This window comes from Homo sapiens, chromosome 16, assembly GCF_000001405.40.
Source record: "Homo sapiens chromosome 16, GRCh38.p14 Primary Assembly".
NCBI lineage: Eukaryota > Metazoa > Chordata > Mammalia > Primates > Hominidae > Homo > Homo sapiens.
Genome location: NC_000016.10, coordinates 16,872,390 through 16,891,752, shown reverse-complemented (window position 1 = coordinate 16,891,752; position 19,363 = coordinate 16,872,390). Strand labels below are relative to the sequence as shown.

The 19,363-nt window shown below is 43.9% G+C and overlaps 1 long non-coding RNA gene across 1 annotated transcript; it reads right to left on the bottom strand.

Annotated features, from left to right (window-relative positions):
- Nucleotides 1-14,908: 14,908 nt before the first annotated feature.
- LOC124903653 (uncharacterized) lies at nucleotides 14,909-19,363 on the bottom strand. The gene is made up of 2 exons (XR_007065007.1): nucleotides 15,998-19,363; nucleotides 14,909-15,845 (listed from the first exon to the last, which is right to left on the bottom strand). It is a non-coding gene; the product is annotated as an uncharacterized LOC124903653 (long non-coding RNA).

Genomic DNA, 19,363 nt, shown 5'->3' with positions numbered 1-19,363 from the left:
AACGCTGCTCAAGAGTCCCCCCAGATAATCTCAGGTTTGTGAGTGTTTCCCACTTCCCTGGATGCTGCTGAACCATTTATAACTTCCTGGCCCCCTTGGTTTTTATAGGGTGGTCAGTTTATCAGTACCTCATAATGGCTCCTTGCTGAGGCACTCTCATGGCTATATTCACATTCCAAGTTCTGGCTTTGACGATTTACGTAGCAGCTGAGATTCACCTGCTAAATGGAAGGCCCGTCACTCAGGCTTATTCTCCAACTGTTACGGGATGGAAATGCTTGACTGTGAGTTGTCCAGGTTCTTGGTGCACTGAACAAAGAATCAAACAAAACATACAAACAAAGCAACAACAACAAAAAAAAACAAAACAATGAAAGCACAGATTTATTGAAGCAAAAGTATACTCTACAGAGTGGGAGCAGGCTTGAACAAGCAGCTCAAACGCTCCCATTATAATGTTGTTTAGGGTTCTTATTAAGCTAAAAGAGTTTGGTAACACCCACTTGGCGCCCTTTAGAGGCCTCCAGTTGGTTATATCCTATGAAGGATTGGCCCAAGAACCAATCAGAGGCTAAAGTGGAGATGGCTCATGACCAATCAGAGGCTGAAGTGGAGACTTGGCCTGTGGTCAATCAGAGGCTGAAATGGAAATTTCCATGTTGTTATTTCAGAGTGAGGATGTGGCCTGTATGCTGCCCAGTCTTGCCTAGAACTGGCTGCACCTGCTGTTGTTTTGCTTATGACTTAACCTTTGGTTATCCTCATTCCCTATTCTCCTACTTCTCAAGCAGAGGGTTTCAAATACATGGACCCAAGTAAATCAATGACCTTCTATCTCTCCTCTTCCTGTATCTTGTGGACTAGAAGATGTTGATGCTTACAGAGTGGAAATACACAGTCTATGGCTGGAGACTGGTCTTTACGGCCTTAGAATTGTTCCCCTGGAAGGTCAGTTCAAGCTGTTACCCTGCATATTCAGAAGGGATCCCCTTCCAATTGTTCCGGTTGTCATTTGACATGTATTTATGTGACTGTTTGGCTGCTGTCTCTTTCCCCCATAACTCGTGAGTCTCAGAGACAGGAACTGTGTCTGTTTGGTCTCTGCACTCCATCCCTGATGTCTAGAACTCTGCCTAATATGCAGGAGATGACCAATTAGTATGAGTTGACAAAACTACAGAAAGGGAAGAAAGAAGTCAAGAAGTAGGCCAGATGCGGTGGCTCACGCCTGTAATCCCAACAATGTAGAGGCCGAGGCAGGTGGATCACCTGAGGTCAGGAGTTCGAGACCAGCCTGACCAACATGGTAAAACCCCATCTCTACTAAAAACACAAAAAATTAGTTGAGTGTGGTAGTGCACGCCTGTAATCCCAGCTACTCGGGAGGCTGAGGCAGGAGACTCACTTGAACCCAGGAGGCAGAGGTTACAGTGAGCTGAGATTGCACCATTGCACTCCAGCCTGGGCAACAAGAGCAAAACTCCATCTCAAAAAAAAAAAAAAAAATCAAGAAGTAAAGGAAGGGAGGCAAAATAAAAAAAGAAAAAAAAAGGAAAAAGGAAAAGGGAGAGAGAGAACTGCAGATCACATCATAGGGATTGCTCCCATAACACTTGTAACAAGGTAAAATCTGATTCGACAGGACATCAGGCACGCTTGTACTCACATTGTTGTGGGCTGAATTGTGTCCCCCGACTCCTAAAAAATATGTTCAAGTCCTAGCCTCTGGTATCTTTAAATGTGACCTTCATTGGAAATAGGGTATTTGCAAATGTAACTGAGCTAAGATGAGGTTATACCCTAAATCCAATATCATTGCCATCCTTACAAGAAGAGAAGAAACACAGAGACACATAGGGAGAATTCCATGTGATGACAGAGGCGAGCCCTGGAGTGATGCTTTTACCAGCCAAGAACCACCAGGGATAACCAGCAATACCAGAAACTATGAAGAGGCAAAAAATGATGAATCTCTAGATCCACCAGAGAGAGCCTAGCCTTGCTGGCACCTTTATTTTGAACTGCTAGCCTCCAGAAATATGAGATACGAAATTTCTGTGGTTGTGTTAAACTTGCACCACCATGCAAGTTTGTGGTGATTTGTTATGGCAACCCTAGGAAATAAATACGGACTCCCATCCTATGGGATTGTGATTGCCTGTTTGCTGGTCTGTTTCCCTTGCAAAAGGCAGGGGCTGTGACTCGTGCATCTCGGTAACCTCAGTACTAGCATACTGTGGTGCATGGCAGAGAGTTGTTGCTTGGTCTCCATCCACTGAGTAGATGGAAGAGAAAGAGGTGGCGGTGGCTCTGAGTGACCTCCTGGGCCTTGTTAACACCAGTGGTTGCATCTTGTCCACAGGAAACTGCAGCCTCAACAATGCTCTGGCTGCCCATAACCAGGTGCAATTCCAGTTTCCCAGAAAATGAGACTGGAGAAATGACCCTAAGTAGTTGTACCCCAGGGAGGATTGTGAGTTTAAAAACAAACTCACTTCCTTTCTGCTAAATTATTGCCCACCTCCCACCACCCCAACTACTCCTTAGCTACAGAAAGCCTCACCACCAATCTACTCCTCTGTCCAATCAAATTCTTCATGTTGACAACGACCAGAATAGCTTATTAAGGACCAGCTTTGCAGGTGACTGCGCCATGCTGAGAATCGCTGTTCATTTTTAGAAAATAAACTCCAATTAGCAATCTCAGTTGTTTATTTCATTTCCTGGCTATGCATTTCCACTTGTAGGGCTGTTGCTGCTGCTCCTGACACCATCTCTGGGAACCTCAAACCTGGAGACCCTGGGAAAATGTCCATGTGGGCTTTCTTCATAACCTATAGAGGGAACTTTGCATGCTATAGAGGAGATCTGAGCCTGAAGGACACATTGACGCACTGATTACCCCTTATGTATCAGGCACTAGGCTACTCCCTTTACATACTTGTGAGATGTGGGCTACTGGTCCCATTTTATGGATGAAGAAACTGAGGCTCAAAGAGTTTAAGGATTTTTCATCTCAGAAAATGTCACCATTTTCCCTTCAGTTGCTCAAGCCAGAACACTGAGAATCCTTCTTAACTCCCTTCTACTCATCACTGATTATTTTCCCTTGGCCCACAAATTAGGTCTCAAATCCACATGAATCCCTTTATCCCTACAGCCACTGCCCTGGTCTAGGCCACGGTCACTCAACAAGCAATTACTGATTGTCTGGTATGTACCAATCTCTGTTCCAAGAAACTGGGATGCTGAAAGAAACAAAACTGACGAAGATCTCAGCCTTCAAGAAGCCTTCTTTCTGGCCATCGCTTTAGGTCACTGCTCTATCCTCCAACTTCTTCTCCTCCCACACAAACCATTCTCCAAAATTTAGTTGATTTTTCCAAAATAAAAACTCAATCATGTAATTCCCTCTTTAAAATTGTCTATGAGGCTCCCATTACTTTGAGGATACAGGTCTATTCTCCTTAATACGGTTCTGAACCCCTTTCATAACCCGGCCCTCACTAGCTCTCCAGTTGCTCTCCAGTCCCAGCTCTCACCATTTCCCTCTCTACCCCACACTCCACTAAAAGAAAAAATTAAAAAAACAAAAACAAAAAAAACAGCCGGGCGCAGTGGCTCACGCCTGTAATCCCACCACTTTGGGAGGCCGAGGCGGGTGGATCATGAGGTCAGGAGTTTGAGAACAGCCTGGCCAACATAGTGAAACCCTGTCTCTACTAAAAATACAAAAAATTAGCCGGGTGTGGTGGTGGGCACCTGTAGTCCTAGCTACTCAGGAGGCTGAGGTAGGAGAATCGCTTGAACTCAGGGGTGGAGGTTGCAGCAGGCCGAGATCGCGCCACTGCACACCAGCCAGGACAAGAGTGAGAGACTCCGTCTCCAAAAAAAAAAAAAAAGGAAAGAAGGAAACTACACGCAGACACACACAGAGTAGAAACTTCCAGATGAACTTTTCTCAATTTATTTAGAGTTTAAGGCACTCCACTGTCTCTAGCTCTCTGGCCTCCATATATGAGGTTCTCTCCGCCCAGCAAAGGTTCCCTTCCTCCATCTCCTATTCAGCCTTCATTTTCAGCTTAGGCTTAGCGCCACTGGGAAGCCTTCCCTGACTTCTACCCTGTCCAGACCACAGTAGTGGCTTCTGCAAATGATCTCATAAAAATGGGTCTTCCCATATCCTCGCTTGGGTCACACTTTGTCAGGGCTGTCTTTGCCAGTAGATTGTACACTTTGAAGGCAGGGAGGGGATAGTGTATGCCCTGTTCATCACTGTATCCACGGCACCAAAGGAATATCGCTGTACTAGCTTTTGAAATGAATAAATGAATGTTGAAGAAAGAACAGGTCTCAGTTTCATAGCTAGCAAGTAGCCAGAATGGGATTTGACTTCAAATGCCTGCTCTTAACCATGTCATAAGCCACTGTAGGGTAAATGCACCTGACAGCAATAACTAAAGCACACCCTTAGAATGACTCTGTATGGCAGATGCACCTGAATGTGCGTTCTGAGCTAGGGAATCAGGAGTGGCCAACCTGGAGATTTTTTCCTGGTCTATGAAGAGCATCTGAGTTCCTGGCCTGTCCCATGAAACATATGTTGTACAGGGGATTGAAACTCTAAGTTTTGGATTAAATGAAAGTTGCCAGGTGGAGGTCATTAAGGGGAGGCTGCTAAGTGAAAATGCTATATAAACTGCATGCTGTTTTTTTGTTTTTGTTTTGAGATAGAGTCTCACTGTGTCACCCAGGCGGGATTGCAGTGGTGTGATTTCAGCTCACTGCAACCTCTGCCTCTCGGGTTCAAGCAAATCTCGTGCCTCAGCCTCCCAAGTAACTAGGATTACAGGCATGTGCCCCCACACCTGGCTAATTTTTGTATTTTTTATGGAGACAGGGTTTCACCATGTTGGTCAGGCTGGTCTCAAACTCCTGACCTCAGGTGATCCACCTACCTTGGCCTTCCAGAGTGCTGGGATTACAGGTATAAGCCACCGCACCCGGCCAAAACTACATGCTGTTTGTAAGCAGTTGAGGTTTTCTTGCCCAGCCCACCACCACCGCATTCTCTCCCATGTATGTTGCCCCTAATCAAACCCCATGTCTTTCTTTTCTTTTCTTTTCTTTTTTTTTTTTTTTGTAAGACTGAGTCTCACTCTGTCACCCAGGCTGGAGTGCAGTGGCGTGATCTCAGCTCACTGCAACCTCCACCTCCCGGGTTCAAGTGATTCTCCTGCCTCAGCCTCCCGAGTGGCTGGGATTATAAGCATGCGCCACCACACTGGACTAATTTTTGTATTTTTAGTAGAGACAATGTTTCACCACGTTGTCCAGGCTGGTCTCGAACTCCTGACCTCAGGTGATCCACCCGCCTCAGCTTCCCAAAGTGCTGGGATTACAGGCGTGAGCCACCGCAGCCAGCTACCCCATGTCTTATTTACTGGCTCCGGGTCTCTTCTTCAGCCTCTTGAACCTGGTGCCTCCCTAATGAGGTTAATAGGGGTTTAGCACAACACCCACTGTGAAGGATGTTGTTAGCCGTGGGTCAAGCGAGCTTTGGGAATAATTTACCACTACTTGTCACAAATCTTCCTGATGAGAAGCAGAGCTTACGCTAAGCAGACAGGAAAGAGGATGAAATATAAGATGTAGTGTGAGTGCTTCATCATCTTAGTTCTTAGGACTGATCGACTTCTGCGTTGGTTATCAAGGGAATGACAAAAACGCAGAATATCCAAACTGCGATAAATTTTAGACATTGCCTTGCCTTTCAGCCCCATTAGAAAAATAAAAATTGAGGTTAGAATCCGAGTTTCCTGGACACCACATTCCATGTTTATGCCATGGGCATTACTGTAACGGGGTTGTGGGGAGGGAGGTCTAAGGGCCTAGTTATCATTAAATGGTTCAAAAGTCAAAAGAAAATCTAAATCTGCTTCTATCCATCAGGGCTGTAGCTACGGAGGAGAGATTCTTCCAACTAGATGGAAAATCCCTTTCCAATAAGGCGAGATGAATATTGCCTTATTGGAAAAGAATCATTGAGCACAGGAACCAACGTGGGTCATTCCAGGAAAACTATCCAAGTAGCTGGGATTACAGGCATGTGCCCCCACACCCGGCTAATTTTTGTATTTTTAATGGAGACAGGGTTTCACCATGTTTGTCAGGCTGGTCTCAAACTCATGACCTCAGGTGATCCACCTACCTTGGCCTTCCAGAGTGCTGGGATTACAGGCGTGAGCCATCATGCCCAGCTAAAACTACATGCTGTTTGCAAGCAGTTGAGGTTTTCCTGCACAGCCCACCACCACTGCATTCTCTCCCTTGTGTAGCCCCTAATCAAACCCAATATCTTTTTTTCACCCAGGCTGGAGTGCAGTGGCGCGATCTCAGCTCACTGCAACCTTAGCCATCCTCCAGTGAAGGAATGAGAGAAGTAAAAGGGAAACTTAACCAACTTGCAGAGCTCCTTACGTCCATCTGCACTGGGAGGAAATGGGGAGAAAGGGGCTGGTGGGAAGATTGTGTCAGCTCCATCATACTGTGTGCCAGTGTGCTGAGCATATCACATGCCTTATCCCATTGAATTCTCACAACTGTCCAATGGGACACATGCTAGTAGGTGCTGAGCTGGGACTTGATCTGACTTCAAGGCTGGCGTTCATAAACAACAGATTCTGTGGACTCTTGGTCATTAGAGTAGTTGGCCAAGAACTGAGTGAACACTCATTAAATACTGCCTGGTTCAGAACTACGTTATCTTTCCTACCCAAGGGAAGCCCCAGCCAAACTAAGAATGACCTCTAAGGTCCTTCAGAGGACCCCATGACATGGACAAGGATCGTGAAAGAAAGTGCTTAGGCACAGACCTTATACATTCTAGAAAGTTCTTGTCCATTGGGAACAGCAAAGACAGCTGCTAAGCATTGATCATATATATGCCAAGCACTGTGCTTTCCATAGATCCCCTCAAATTGTATGGGGTTGACCCCTGCAGATCATTATGATCTCCATCTTCATTTTCTCTACACCATTTTCAAAGAGATAAGTTAATGTGTCCAATGTCAGACAGATGGTTCGGGTCAGAGGCAGGATTCAAACCTAGGTCTGTCTGCCTCTAATTCTGCTGCCCTTACCTGTGATGGATGCCAAGTGGCTACAGCATTACTGCCAGCCAAATGGCACCACCTGGGAAAAATGCAGTGGGTTGAGGTCAAGAGTCCTCACTTCTATGTCTTGACTTCATCTGTCAGAAAGCACTTGCCTCCCATGATGACTTGAAGGTAAAATCAGGTAATCTCAAAAAACATTGGAAATGTGCACTGTGTAAATGCAGGCTCTTTGCTCTACTTTGAATTATGATTATTCATTGTCCTTGGAAGGAAACGAAGGAGGAAGATACAATTTGTTGCTAAGCCCCCAGCTGGAGAAAGACATCTTGGACTAGAATTGTAGGGCAGAGGAGGGATGTTCATTCCCCTTCCTTAGTTGGAGACCTCTTGCTTTCATTTGCATAAAAGCAGATCCCTGAAAAGCAAATTGCAGCCACTAATAGCATTGGCTGACTCTTGACCTGGAGTGAACTCACCTGGAGTGACCTGGAGTTGAATGGGCTCTTCTCTTTCTGAGCCCTCACCCCCATGCACCCTCAGAATCCTTGGTTGGATTAAAATTGTAGACAGTAAAATTCAGTAGCTGTTTCTGTGATATCTAAAGACCAAATATCAGCTCATTTCTCACAGCAAGAGTTCCCCACCCAGAGATTTAAAAGAGCTGATGTACTTTTCTTCGGGGGGTGGGGATGGGGGTGTTGAGATGGAATCTAGCTCTGTTGCCCAGGCTGGAGTGCAGCAATGAGATCTCAGCTCACTGCACCCTCCGCCTTCTGGGTTCAAGCAATTCTCCTGCCTCAGCCTCCTGAGTAGCTGGGACTACAGGTGTGCATCACCATGCCTGGCTAATTCTTGTATTTTTAGTAGAGACGAGGTTTCACCATATTGGAAAGGCTGGTCTCAAACTCTTGGTCTCAAGTGATCCTCCCATCTTGGTCTCCCAAAGTGCAAGAGCTAATTTATTTAAATCCCTGACATAGAGACTTGTACAATGTCAACATTCTAGAAATGGTGATGTGGGGATAGAGACAGCCCACATTGAGATGGTGGTTAAGGACCTCATTTTTTTGAAGATGGACAGGCCCAGCAGTACATTTCCTATTTGTGTGGACGCTGGACATGTTTTTAACCTTTCTGAGCTTGTTTCCTCTTCTGTAAAACCTACCTCAAAGTGTCATTATGAGAACGAAATGAGTGACCACGCCGAGCACCTGGTAAGCACTTATATTGGTCTGCTCAGATCTCTATAGCAAAATACCACAGGATGGGCCTTAAACAACAGACATTTGTTTTCTCCAGTTATGGTGGCTAGAAGTTCAAGATCAAGGTGCCAGCAAATTCAACTTCTGGTGAGATCACTCTTCCTGGCTTGCAGATGGCTGCTTTCTTGTTCCATCCTCACACAGCCTTTCCTCTGCATAAGGAGAAAAACAGAGTGCTGGTGCCTTTCTCTTCTTACAAGGGCATCAGCTCTATTGGATTAGGGCCTCACCTTAATTGCCTTCTTAAGGTTCCTATCTCCAAATAGGGCTTCAACATTTGAATTTTGAGGAGACACAACTCAGGCCATGATAGAGTTCAAACAGTGGTTACTATTAGGTGCAGTCCATCAAGTGGTAGAAGTCGCTAGAACTAAAGCATAGATGGAGAAAGTTGATTGCATCTGTTGCTCTTCGCCACCTGCCCCTTTCCCTGTTCCCACTCCAGCATGCACACAAGACCTCCAGGCCCCAGGGAGCAACTGCGGTTACCTCTTCTGGGCATCCTGCTTTCTCCCCAAAGGATGAGGAAGCTTTGGTTGACTTCTAATTACTCAGATCCTCAGTGTTGCTGTCCCTACTGCTATGGATATGATCTCTCCTTTCCTGATCCTTTCTGAACTTTTTTTTTAAGTTCTGGGGTACATGTGCAGGATGTGTATGTTTGTTACATAGGTAGAAGTGTGCCTGTGTGGTTTGCTGCACCTATCAACTCATCACCTAGGTATTAAACCCAGGTGCATTAGCTATTTCCCTGGGACTAAAGTGAGAGGACACCCTTCATTCACAGAACCACTTGGAAATTGACTTGCCTGCTCCTAGCACTGGATGGTTTTGCCAAAAACAAAACATTTGACAAGTGGCAGGTGGGGCAACTGAGGTTTCCTAGCCAATATCAGGGAAATTGGGACACTAAAGATCCAGAGATTCTATAAGATTCTTCAAGAGAAAAAAAATGATTGTGTTGAGTTTCTATTGACAGTTTTATTAATACAGTAACAAGTAATAGTTATTTATTCATTTTTCAAACTTTTATTTTAGATTCAGATGTACATGTGCAGGTTGGTTCTATAGGTAAACTTGTGCCACTAGGGTTTGTGATTTCATCACCCAGGTACTAAGCCTAGTACCCAATAGTTATTTTTTCTGCTCCTCTCCCTCCTCTCATCCTCCACCCTCAAATAGGCCCCAGTGTCTGTGCGCCTGTTGTTACCCTCTTGGTGTCTGAGTAACAACTAATTCGTATTGAGCATTTACTATGTACTGTCTACTAAACAGTGCTGAGAGCATTGTATGGATTATTTCATTTCATTCTCACAATAGCTCCATGGCAGCGGCTTTCGGTGAGGGGAGGGAGGAGGGATTGCGCCTCCCAGGGGACACTGGCAGTGTCTGGAGACGATTTTTGTTGTCATAATGGGGTGGGGGGAGAGTGCTACTGGCATCTAGTGGGTAGAAGCTAACGATGCTGCTAAACACCCTACAATGCCCAGGGCAGCCCCTCACCATGAAGAATGTCCTGGCCCCAAATGTTGATAATGCCAAGATTAAGAAACCCTGCTATACCAGACAGCTACTTTGATATTGGCACCATTTTACAGGTAAAGACACTGAGTATCAGAGAAATTAAGCTATCAGCTTCACATTGCAGACCAAACAGCATTTTCACCGAAGTGCGATGGATTTCAGAGCCCATTCTTCACCACACAGCTATAAACAATCATGATTCTGCATCAAAGTTAAGGTCCTCTCTTCATTAGAGTCACCGGTGTCCCTGACACTGAAACTATGTATGGATGTCCACGCTTCATTACAGCCAGCCTGGCTGGAACAACTAGGCAATGTGCTGACACTAGGAACCAACCCACGCTTCATTCCAAATCACCCTTAAGCTGTCGGAAGTTACCTTTCACAAGCGAAAAAGAAAAGAAGCCCTGATTCATGAATTTGCCAACTGCTTTTTCCCCCAGCTGCAGCTAACATAGGTATTTCCAGCTATAGATTATATTGAATTGCTGGGACTGGAAAAAAAAAAAAAAGAAAAGAAAATCAGCTTCAGGTGCAGGTCTAAAGAGAGAATGAGCTTGAGAAGAAGGAGAATGATTCGCCCTTCCTTTCCATATTCATCCTCACACTTTGGATCAAAAAGTAATTGCCAATTGTTGTCATGTTAAGAGAGAGGTAACTGTGTAGGTCAAGCTCTCTGATTTCTTATTCAGGGAAATTTTCCATTCCCCAAACTCTCATCTAAAAGCCCAAGCCTCGGAAAGCTGTGCTGCCTGAAGGGGCCCAGAGAACACAAATGATTTTCTTTAAAGACTCCTTTGTCCATCAGAAAGCAAGCGATTCGATCAGACTAATTATTTCCCAACAAAGACATAAGGTTTCCTTTTAGCCCCTGCTCACTTCTTGTTATCAAAGGAGTATTTTTTTTAAAATGTATCTTGGACAAGGAAGATCAAAAGAGAAGCATGTGTCCGGAGCGAATAATATTTTTTCACATTATTTCCAGTTGAATTTGCTTAAATCTCTCATATTTTACTACTTGTCATTACTGAAAACTTTCACCTTGAGTTATGGAGGGTGAGGGAAAAGAAGGCACTCCAATGAATAATGCTGGGTAGCAGAGGATGAAAAAAGACAAAGACAGGCCTGGGGTGACTGATGAATAAAGGGAATAAGAAAGAGGCGACTGTTTTATCTCAATAATGTTATCAATACCCACGTCTGTATTAGAGGCGTGGTGGGACTGTGAGCAAGGGGAAAGGGATTGTTCCAAAGGAAAATCAATGTTTAGATTAAAATGGGTTTATGAAGTTATGTCAAGCGAGCTTCTTTTATCTCTCACCCCAGGATTACACTAAGATGCCCCCGCACGTTGTGAGCTACCCAGCCTTTTTTTCCAGCACACTTGAGTGTGGCAGCTTAGCCGTGGGAAAGCGAGAAGTGCCCTTTTGAAGAGGGTGATGCAAAAATTAAAATAGCCCCGATGAAAGCCAACATTGATGGAGTTTTCTTTGCCAGTCTGTTAAGCTCCTAGTATGCAGCGGTTCATTTTGTTCTCACAATAACCTTGTGAGGTGCCTTATTACTGTCTTCATTTTACAGAGGGAGAAACTGAGGCAGAGTTGTAGGTGGAGATATAAGCTTGGGCACATCGAAAGTGCGGGCTGCCTGGGTTCAGGTTCTGACCCAGAATTGCTAGCTTTGTAATCTTGACACAGGTTGAGTTTCTGAGCTCCAATTTTCATCATTCAAGAACAATGATGAGGATGAGGATGAGGATAACGATGATATGATGATGATGATGATGATGATGATGCCTGGCTAAACGTCATAGGTTGTCTGGGGGATAAGTTGAGATAATCCAAGTAAAGTCGTTAGCACCTTGCAGGGCACAGAGTAGCTATAATATCTGTAAATGTGAGCTATCTTTACGACACATATTTAGTGCTGATGATCAAGTCACTATCTTAGTACTCTGGGAAATGTAGACTCTGGCACCATGAAAAGACCTTTATGTTTGAGCAGATACAGCTTCATACCCAGGCACAGCTCCTGTGTTACCCTGAACAACTCACTTGACCTCTCTGAGCTTCATGTATGGGAAGAGCCTAGTCTAATCGTGGCCATGTGTTAGGTATTTCGTAATCACTGTTTAATAAATAAAAGGCATCTTTTCTTCCTCTCTTTTTAAATCTTAGGATTCCACAAGACTCTCTTTTTTCTCTGTCAGCCTCATACTCCCCTCAGATTCTCCTATCCCAAGCCAACTCTGAACAAGCTCTGGCAGGGAATTCATTTGGAGTTCTGTGTTTGTTCTTTGCCACAAGCCCCCAGAAGTATGTTGACTGGTCACAACAACCCTCCCAACTAATGCTCCCTGTGTTGGCTCCAGTCCCAGGATCCTGCCTCAGTTTCCCTATCAAATCTACTCTCCCATTGGGATCAGGGTCTGCCCCTGGAATGTTGAATCTCTGACCAAAACCTTAGTTTTGGTAGCCTTCTAACTTTGGAAGCTGGACTCTGTCCCCTCTTCCATGTGCCCCAGTCATTAGCCAAAGTTGTTTCAAGTCTACAAACCAATGTTACCACCCACTAGATGCTTTCGAGTCATACAGACATGAGCTGAAATCCTAGCCATGGCAGACCAAGTCACTCCAGCTTTCTAAGCCTCAGCTCCCTTACATGTAAAATGGATATAATAAGATACAGAACTCATCAGGTTGTTGAGAGAATTAAATACAACAGTGTAGGTAAGTCATTTAGTACAGTATCTGGTTCACAACAAATTTTTTGTTATACTTTAAGTTTTAGGGTACATGTGCACAAATGTGCAGGTTAGTTACATATGTATACATGTGCCATGCTGGTGTGCTGCACCCATTAACTCGTCATTTAGCATTAGGTATATCTCCTAATGCTATCCCTCCCCCCTCCCCACAACAGTCCCCAGAGTGTGATGTTCCCCTTCCTGTGTCCATGTGTTCTCATTGTTCAATTCCCAACTATGAGTGAGGACAGGTTCACAACAAATTTTTAATAAAAGATAGTGACTTCCTATAGATACTTGTCATAATTCTGCCCCCAAACCCCTACTTTGATCAGAGCCCTCCAACATCATCTCGAGTAGGGTAGAATCCAAATTCACCAGATCCCTTTTGTACTAGTTAGTTCCCCCACACCTAGTTCTTTACACACCTAACGTACACCCTTCCTATCAACCCTTTTCAGAGGTTCTTGCATAACCTAGTGAAGTTCCACATTTTATATCACAATGTCACCCAGGTTCTTAGGAGTTCCTCTAGTATGATTGTGTGACTTAAAGGCTACTTGGAACTTCTCAGTTACCAAACTATTGCTTGATTAGGAAGACAAGTGAGTTTGGCATGCAAGACACCCTCAGATGCACATTCTCCCAGATGTGGTCAACACCACATTATTCCCTTCTAATTTACAGAATATCCTGGCTTTTTACAGTTCCCTACTGAAACACGGCACCTCTCTGAACTCTTTAAATTACAAATGACTTAATTTAGTTTAAACAAACAAATAAAGGAAATACATTGGTTTACATCAAAGATGCAGAGTGCAGACTGGCTTTAAACAAAAATTGATCCAGGGTCCAGGAGTTGTCATCAAGAGTCTGCCTCCATCTCTCAGTTCTGTTTTCTTTCATATTGGCTTCTGATATGGTTTGGCTGTGTCCCCACCTAAATCTCATCTCGAATTGTAGCTCCCTTAATTCCCATGTGTCATGGGAGGGACCCAGTGGGAGGTAAATGAATCATGGGGGCGGGTCTTTCCTGTGTTGTTCTCGTAAGTCTCACGAGATCTGATAGTTTTATGAAGGGGAGTTTCCCTGCACACGCTCTCCTGCCTTCCACCATGTACGACGTGACTTTGCTCCTCGTTTGCCTTCTGCCATGATTGTGAGGCCTCCCCAGACATGTGGAACTTTGAGTCCATTAAACCTCTTTCCTTTATAAATTACCCCATCTCAGGTATGTCTTTATTAGCAGCATGAGAACAGACTATAATACAGCTTCATTCTTTGGCAAGCTCTCCCCTTTTCATAGTAAAGATGGTCACAGGCAGCTCTGGGTAATATTCCTGCCAGGTCAGCATCCCAGTAGAAAGAGAACCCTCTTTCCCAGTGGTTCTATCTAAAGCCTCAAAACTGAGTCTCTTGGCTCTGATTGGGTCACATGGCTATCCCTTGCCCAATCACTGTGGCCAGAAAGATAATAGATATTGATTGGTCAGTTCTATATCACATGCCCACCCTAGAGCTGGAGGGAGAGGCAAAAAACTTAGGTTGAGTGTGTAAAGGGTCATTCCCTCAGAGGTGCATGGGGCATCTTATTTGAAGGAAAGAGAATGGATGATGAATAAAAACATCATCCATTTTCCATCATCTGTGCTTATAGTAGTAGCCTTACTAAGAAAGACTCCAAGCATGGAATCTAGCTAGATTCAGCTCTACTCAAGGAATGTTTCCATGGATCAATCAGAGACAAAGCCTATGACTTCACTTGGCATTATTCTCACCAGCAAAATCCCCTTCTTCTTCCAGCTGTCAATCCTCCACCTCCACTGCAACACACACCTTGCTGCTGTTGACACCCTGTGACTTGCTTCCCACAGATGGGTGTCTGCGTTTAAGAGCATGCATTATTGTCATTGAAATAACAGGATGCTAAAACCTTTATAAATTGATATGCCAGAAAAGAGGGAGGCAAAAATGAATGCTAAGTTTCTTCGCATAATACTCTGTGGGATGTGTTTTTCCCCCTAAGAATATTTTAGCATTAATTAAGATAAACAATGATATATGCTGAAAGACAATTGAATCTGTTCTCGGTTAAAAATGGCTTCGTTGTGTAAAAATAGTACCCAAATTATAGCATATAAAGATGCAGGGGGAAAAATACTGTAAACCTATAACATGATTAAAATAGAAATGCAAACCAGTAATGATGAGACCTTGAACAAATCTGGGGGAAGAAGAGAAAGATGGGGAAGTAGCAAGGCACGTCATCATGCTTAATTTATTCACCTCCCTCTGGGAACTTCTTTACTGTGTTTCTCTTTAATAATAACTATTATTTATCATGGCATCGTTAGCATACGTTTTCAATGAAATTGGTTTTGTTATTACCATTTTATAAGTGAGGAACTGAGCTTTGGAGAGTTTAAGTCAAGGTCACACTGGTAGAAATAGCAGAACCAGGTTTTGAACCAGGTTAGGTTAAGCCTCCAGCATAACACTTTCCACCCGTCTAGGCTGCCCCACTGTTCCCTGGGTCTCCCCTCTAAAAATCCTCTTCAAGTCAGAATGAGAATCAAGGAAGGAGCTCACACATATCACACTTAAGACGTGCCAAGCACTGTTCCAAGCTTTTCCTAAGTATTAGCTTATTTCATCCTCACAATATTGGGGGATTGTTATATTATTATCCCCATTTGACAGATGTGGAGAGTTAAGTAGTTTGTCCAAGGCCAGACAGCTGGTGGAAGCTGTAATTCAAGGCAGGCAGGTGGGCCGGCTTCAGAATTCATGCTGCGATGTTGTTCTATTTCCTTTGGAGAGCCATTTGTGACATCCAAGGGTGACTCCTCCTGCCCCATTTTCCCCAGAGTTCCTGCAGGGGTGAATACCTACAGCACATATCTGGCGTGGTCTTTATTTTAGCAGGGGATGTTTTTATGTCTTTGTGTGGCAACTGTCTGATAACCCTGCAAATTCCTTGAGAGTTAGGAGTTTCCAGAATTCTTCCCATCTCCCACAGTTCCTAGTCAATATTTTGCACATGATGGGTGCTCAGCAAATGTTTGATGGGGAGGCTGATGGAGACCAGTTAATTTTGCTTCCCTCCATGGCTGCAGGATGCATGGTGAAAGCTGAGAAGTCATTGTCCTTGGGCAGGCAAGGATGATGGACAGCTCTCCACAAAGCCCCTCGCATCTGGAGGAGTAATTCAAAGCTGTGTCAGAGCTTCTTCTGGGGTGCAAATTTATTCATTCATCCATTGTCTCACCCATTCACTCACTCACTCACATACTCAACCCTTCATTTACTCATTCCCTTACTTATTTATGCATTCACCCAGCACTTACTGAGTGGCTGGCTGTTCCATGCCAGATGCTCCACTTGATCCTGGGGATAAAACCGTTCATGCAGCCCATCTCTACTCATCTGAATGGACAGAAGAATGATCGAAGAGTGGCTCCCGGTATAGTCAGGACATTAGGACAGCAGCACCACTCACTGCTACAGCCTCCAAGCCCTGCAAACTCAAAGAAGTAGCAGGAAGGACCATCCATGTCTCTGAGTTTGCTCATGATCAGATGCTAAATTCTCAGTATATTCCACGTATGTGGCTTGCAGCCCTTGCTGCAATGTTTTGGTTGAAAAGCAGCAGGTTGAAAATCTTTCTCTCTCTCTCTCTTCCTCTCTATCATTTTTGGACCTCTTAAATCTGTGTTGGCTTTTCTTTCAAGGAGAAGACAGAGTGAGCATCTTCTCAGCTATCTCTGGCTTCTCTCCAAGCGTGGTTCTTTTTGTCTCCACAATGACAAGATCTTTATTGAATTTTGAGAATTATACTTATTTTCTTTAAACTATTTATTAGGTGCCTACTGTGTGTCAGTAAATTTAAATGTGTTATCTTTAAGATAGTTTCTGTTATTGCCTGCTTAAAAGTGGGAAAATACATGAAGCTTGAGAAAATAATTTGAACAATTTAGATAACTATAAGGAAACTCAATAATCAAAATGTTACTATTATTTATCTTGAGTTTCTTCATACATATCTGTACCATTTGAGTTGGTGGTAATCTTTTCATACACACATACGCATTCACACACGTATGTATACATATGAATATCACATAAATGGAATTGCCACAAATGCTTTTTTATTGTGCATACTTTTTAAGTTTCTATTCCTCCCACTTATTTTCTCTCCCCAGGTAAATAGTGTTAGGAAGCAAAGTGTATCTTTTCATACTTTTTGCCCATGCTCATGCAACTGTATGCAAACATGCAAATGTCTATGTTAATAATGGGGGCTGGGCATCATTTGTTCTACAAAAAGGAATTTTGTAGCATCTTTGTCTACATCTCGCTGGTGTTGTAAACCAGAAGCCCCCTCCAAATGAACTGGCATAGATTTAATGCATTCGTTTTAAAGGCTACATAATAATTCATGCATAGGACACTTCCATCATTTACCCATTCACCTGCCATGGGGAATTCTTATTTTGTCATTGGAAAGCTTCAGGCATAGAACTTCTGGCTCTCTCTGTTCTCCCAGTCTAGGGAATCTTTTTACTAGTCTGGTGGTGGGGAAGACTTAATAACTCTCTCTTTTCTGTGCCCCTTAGAAGATTCTTTGTTCTTTCTCCTGCTGTCATAGTCTTCCTCCTGATAGAATGAATATAGATTGGCTTAGCTGAGTGAGGAGAAAACAAAGGCAGTAAGAATGGGAAAAAAAGCTGAGGGGAAAATCATGTTAATATTTCAAAAATATTCTTCCACCACATACTTACAATACTTTTATGGCACTTTACAGTTTACAAAGCCCTTCTCATATTGTATTCAAAATGCAGGTCAGGTGTGGTGGCTCATAATTATAATCCTAGAACTTTGGGAGGCAGAGGTGGGAGGATCACCTGAGGTCAGGAGTTCTGGTCTCAAGACCAGCCTGGACAACATAGCAAGACCCCATCTCTACAAAAAATAAAAAATTAGCCAGGTGGTGTGGTGTGCCTATAGTCCCAGCTACTAGAATGGCTGAGGTGGGAAGATGGCTTGACCCTAGGAAGTCAAGGCTGCAGTAAGCTGTGATTGTGCCACTGCACTCCAGCCTGGGTGACAGAGTGAGATCCCATCTCTTAAAAAAAAAATGCACTCACTTGGCTGTTACTACTTCCCACATCCTGAGCTGTCACTTGGCCAGGAAGCCTTCTCTAGTCTAACAAGCAGGCCTGAGCACCCCTTCTCTGACAACCTACCTCCCATATAAAAAAAAGTGTTTTGGAAAACAAATGAGTAAAATTGATATTCTTTAGGGGATACCTTTTTTGTTGTGAAAATTTTCAAAGTTTTACACAAATAGAGCCAACCGTATTAAAATGCTCACATATCCATCACTGAAAGCTTTACCAGGATAACTCTGAATCCACTCTAACTTATTTTTAAAAATAAAAACTCGTTACAAATTCCAGCTAATTTTAGGTATTTGCAACATACCTCTTATTGGAACTTGCAGCAGTGTTTTGTAAAATTCCTGCTACTGAGGAACGCTTGAGCTATGTTTTGGGAGCTGAGGGAGAGTAGGTAGTTATGGTTGGGTCACCCACATCTATCCAGTCCCTCTTCTTGCAACAGTACTACCTCCTTTTCACCTGAGATTAACCCTTCCCCTACTTTTAACCCAAGTGATTCGAGTGGGGCTTCCTCTCCTGCAGAGGTGGGGCGGGGGTACTTTTTTTTGGAGACAGAGTCTCGCCGTGTCACCCAGACTGGAGTACAGTGGCGTGATCTCAGCTCACTGAAACATCCTCCTCCCAAGTTCAAGCGATTCTCCTGCCTCAGCCTCCCAAGTACCTGGAATTACAGGTGCCCACCACTATGCCCGGCTAATTTTTGTATTTTTAGTAGAGATAGGTTATCACCATGTTGGCCAGGCTGGTCTCAAACTCCTGACCTCAAGTGACCTGTCTGCCTCGGCCTCCAAAAGTGCTGGGTTTACAGGCATGAGCCACCACACCTCGCTGGGGGGAACATTTGATCTAGTCCCAAATCAGGAGAATCACCCTTCCAAAGCTAGTGACACACACTACTGACATTGCTGAAACAGAAGTTGGCTCTCTGTTTTACTGAAGTTGAAGCTTTAGAGGATATAAGCTTAGCATCTCTGGCAACTATTTCATCATCAGGAGGAAAGACCCTGCTAAAAAGTGGAGTCAAGGAAAAGGAACTCAGAACTGAGAGATGGCAAGAAACTGAGTCCCAATCAAATCAAAGGAGTCCTTATACCCAGCAATGCCTACAATTAGATAAGCCAACGGATACCCTTTTTGGCCTGAGTCAGTCTGAGCTGGGTTTTCTATTTCTTGCTGCTCATGAGTCCTGATACTCATAAGTCAGGGTGGCAAAGAAAACATTAACCAGGAATCAGAGAGGGTGAAGAGAAGGCCATCTAAACATGCACTGGGAATGTGGATCCCATGCTAATGGCTGCGGTTTTGCCAGGACTTAGTAGTTTGCAGGTTGGGTCTGGGTTCTACGAATTAGGTGGATGTAAATAGCAAAGCAGAGACCGCCTGACTCCTAGTCTGTTGCTTTTTCTGCCAAACCCTATTACAAAAGACATCTCTGTAGATCCAAGGTGGGAAAGCATTCTTCATGGGGAAGATTCCAACACAGCAGCATTACATATTTCCCTCCAATTTCATCATCACTAAGGCAACTCTTCC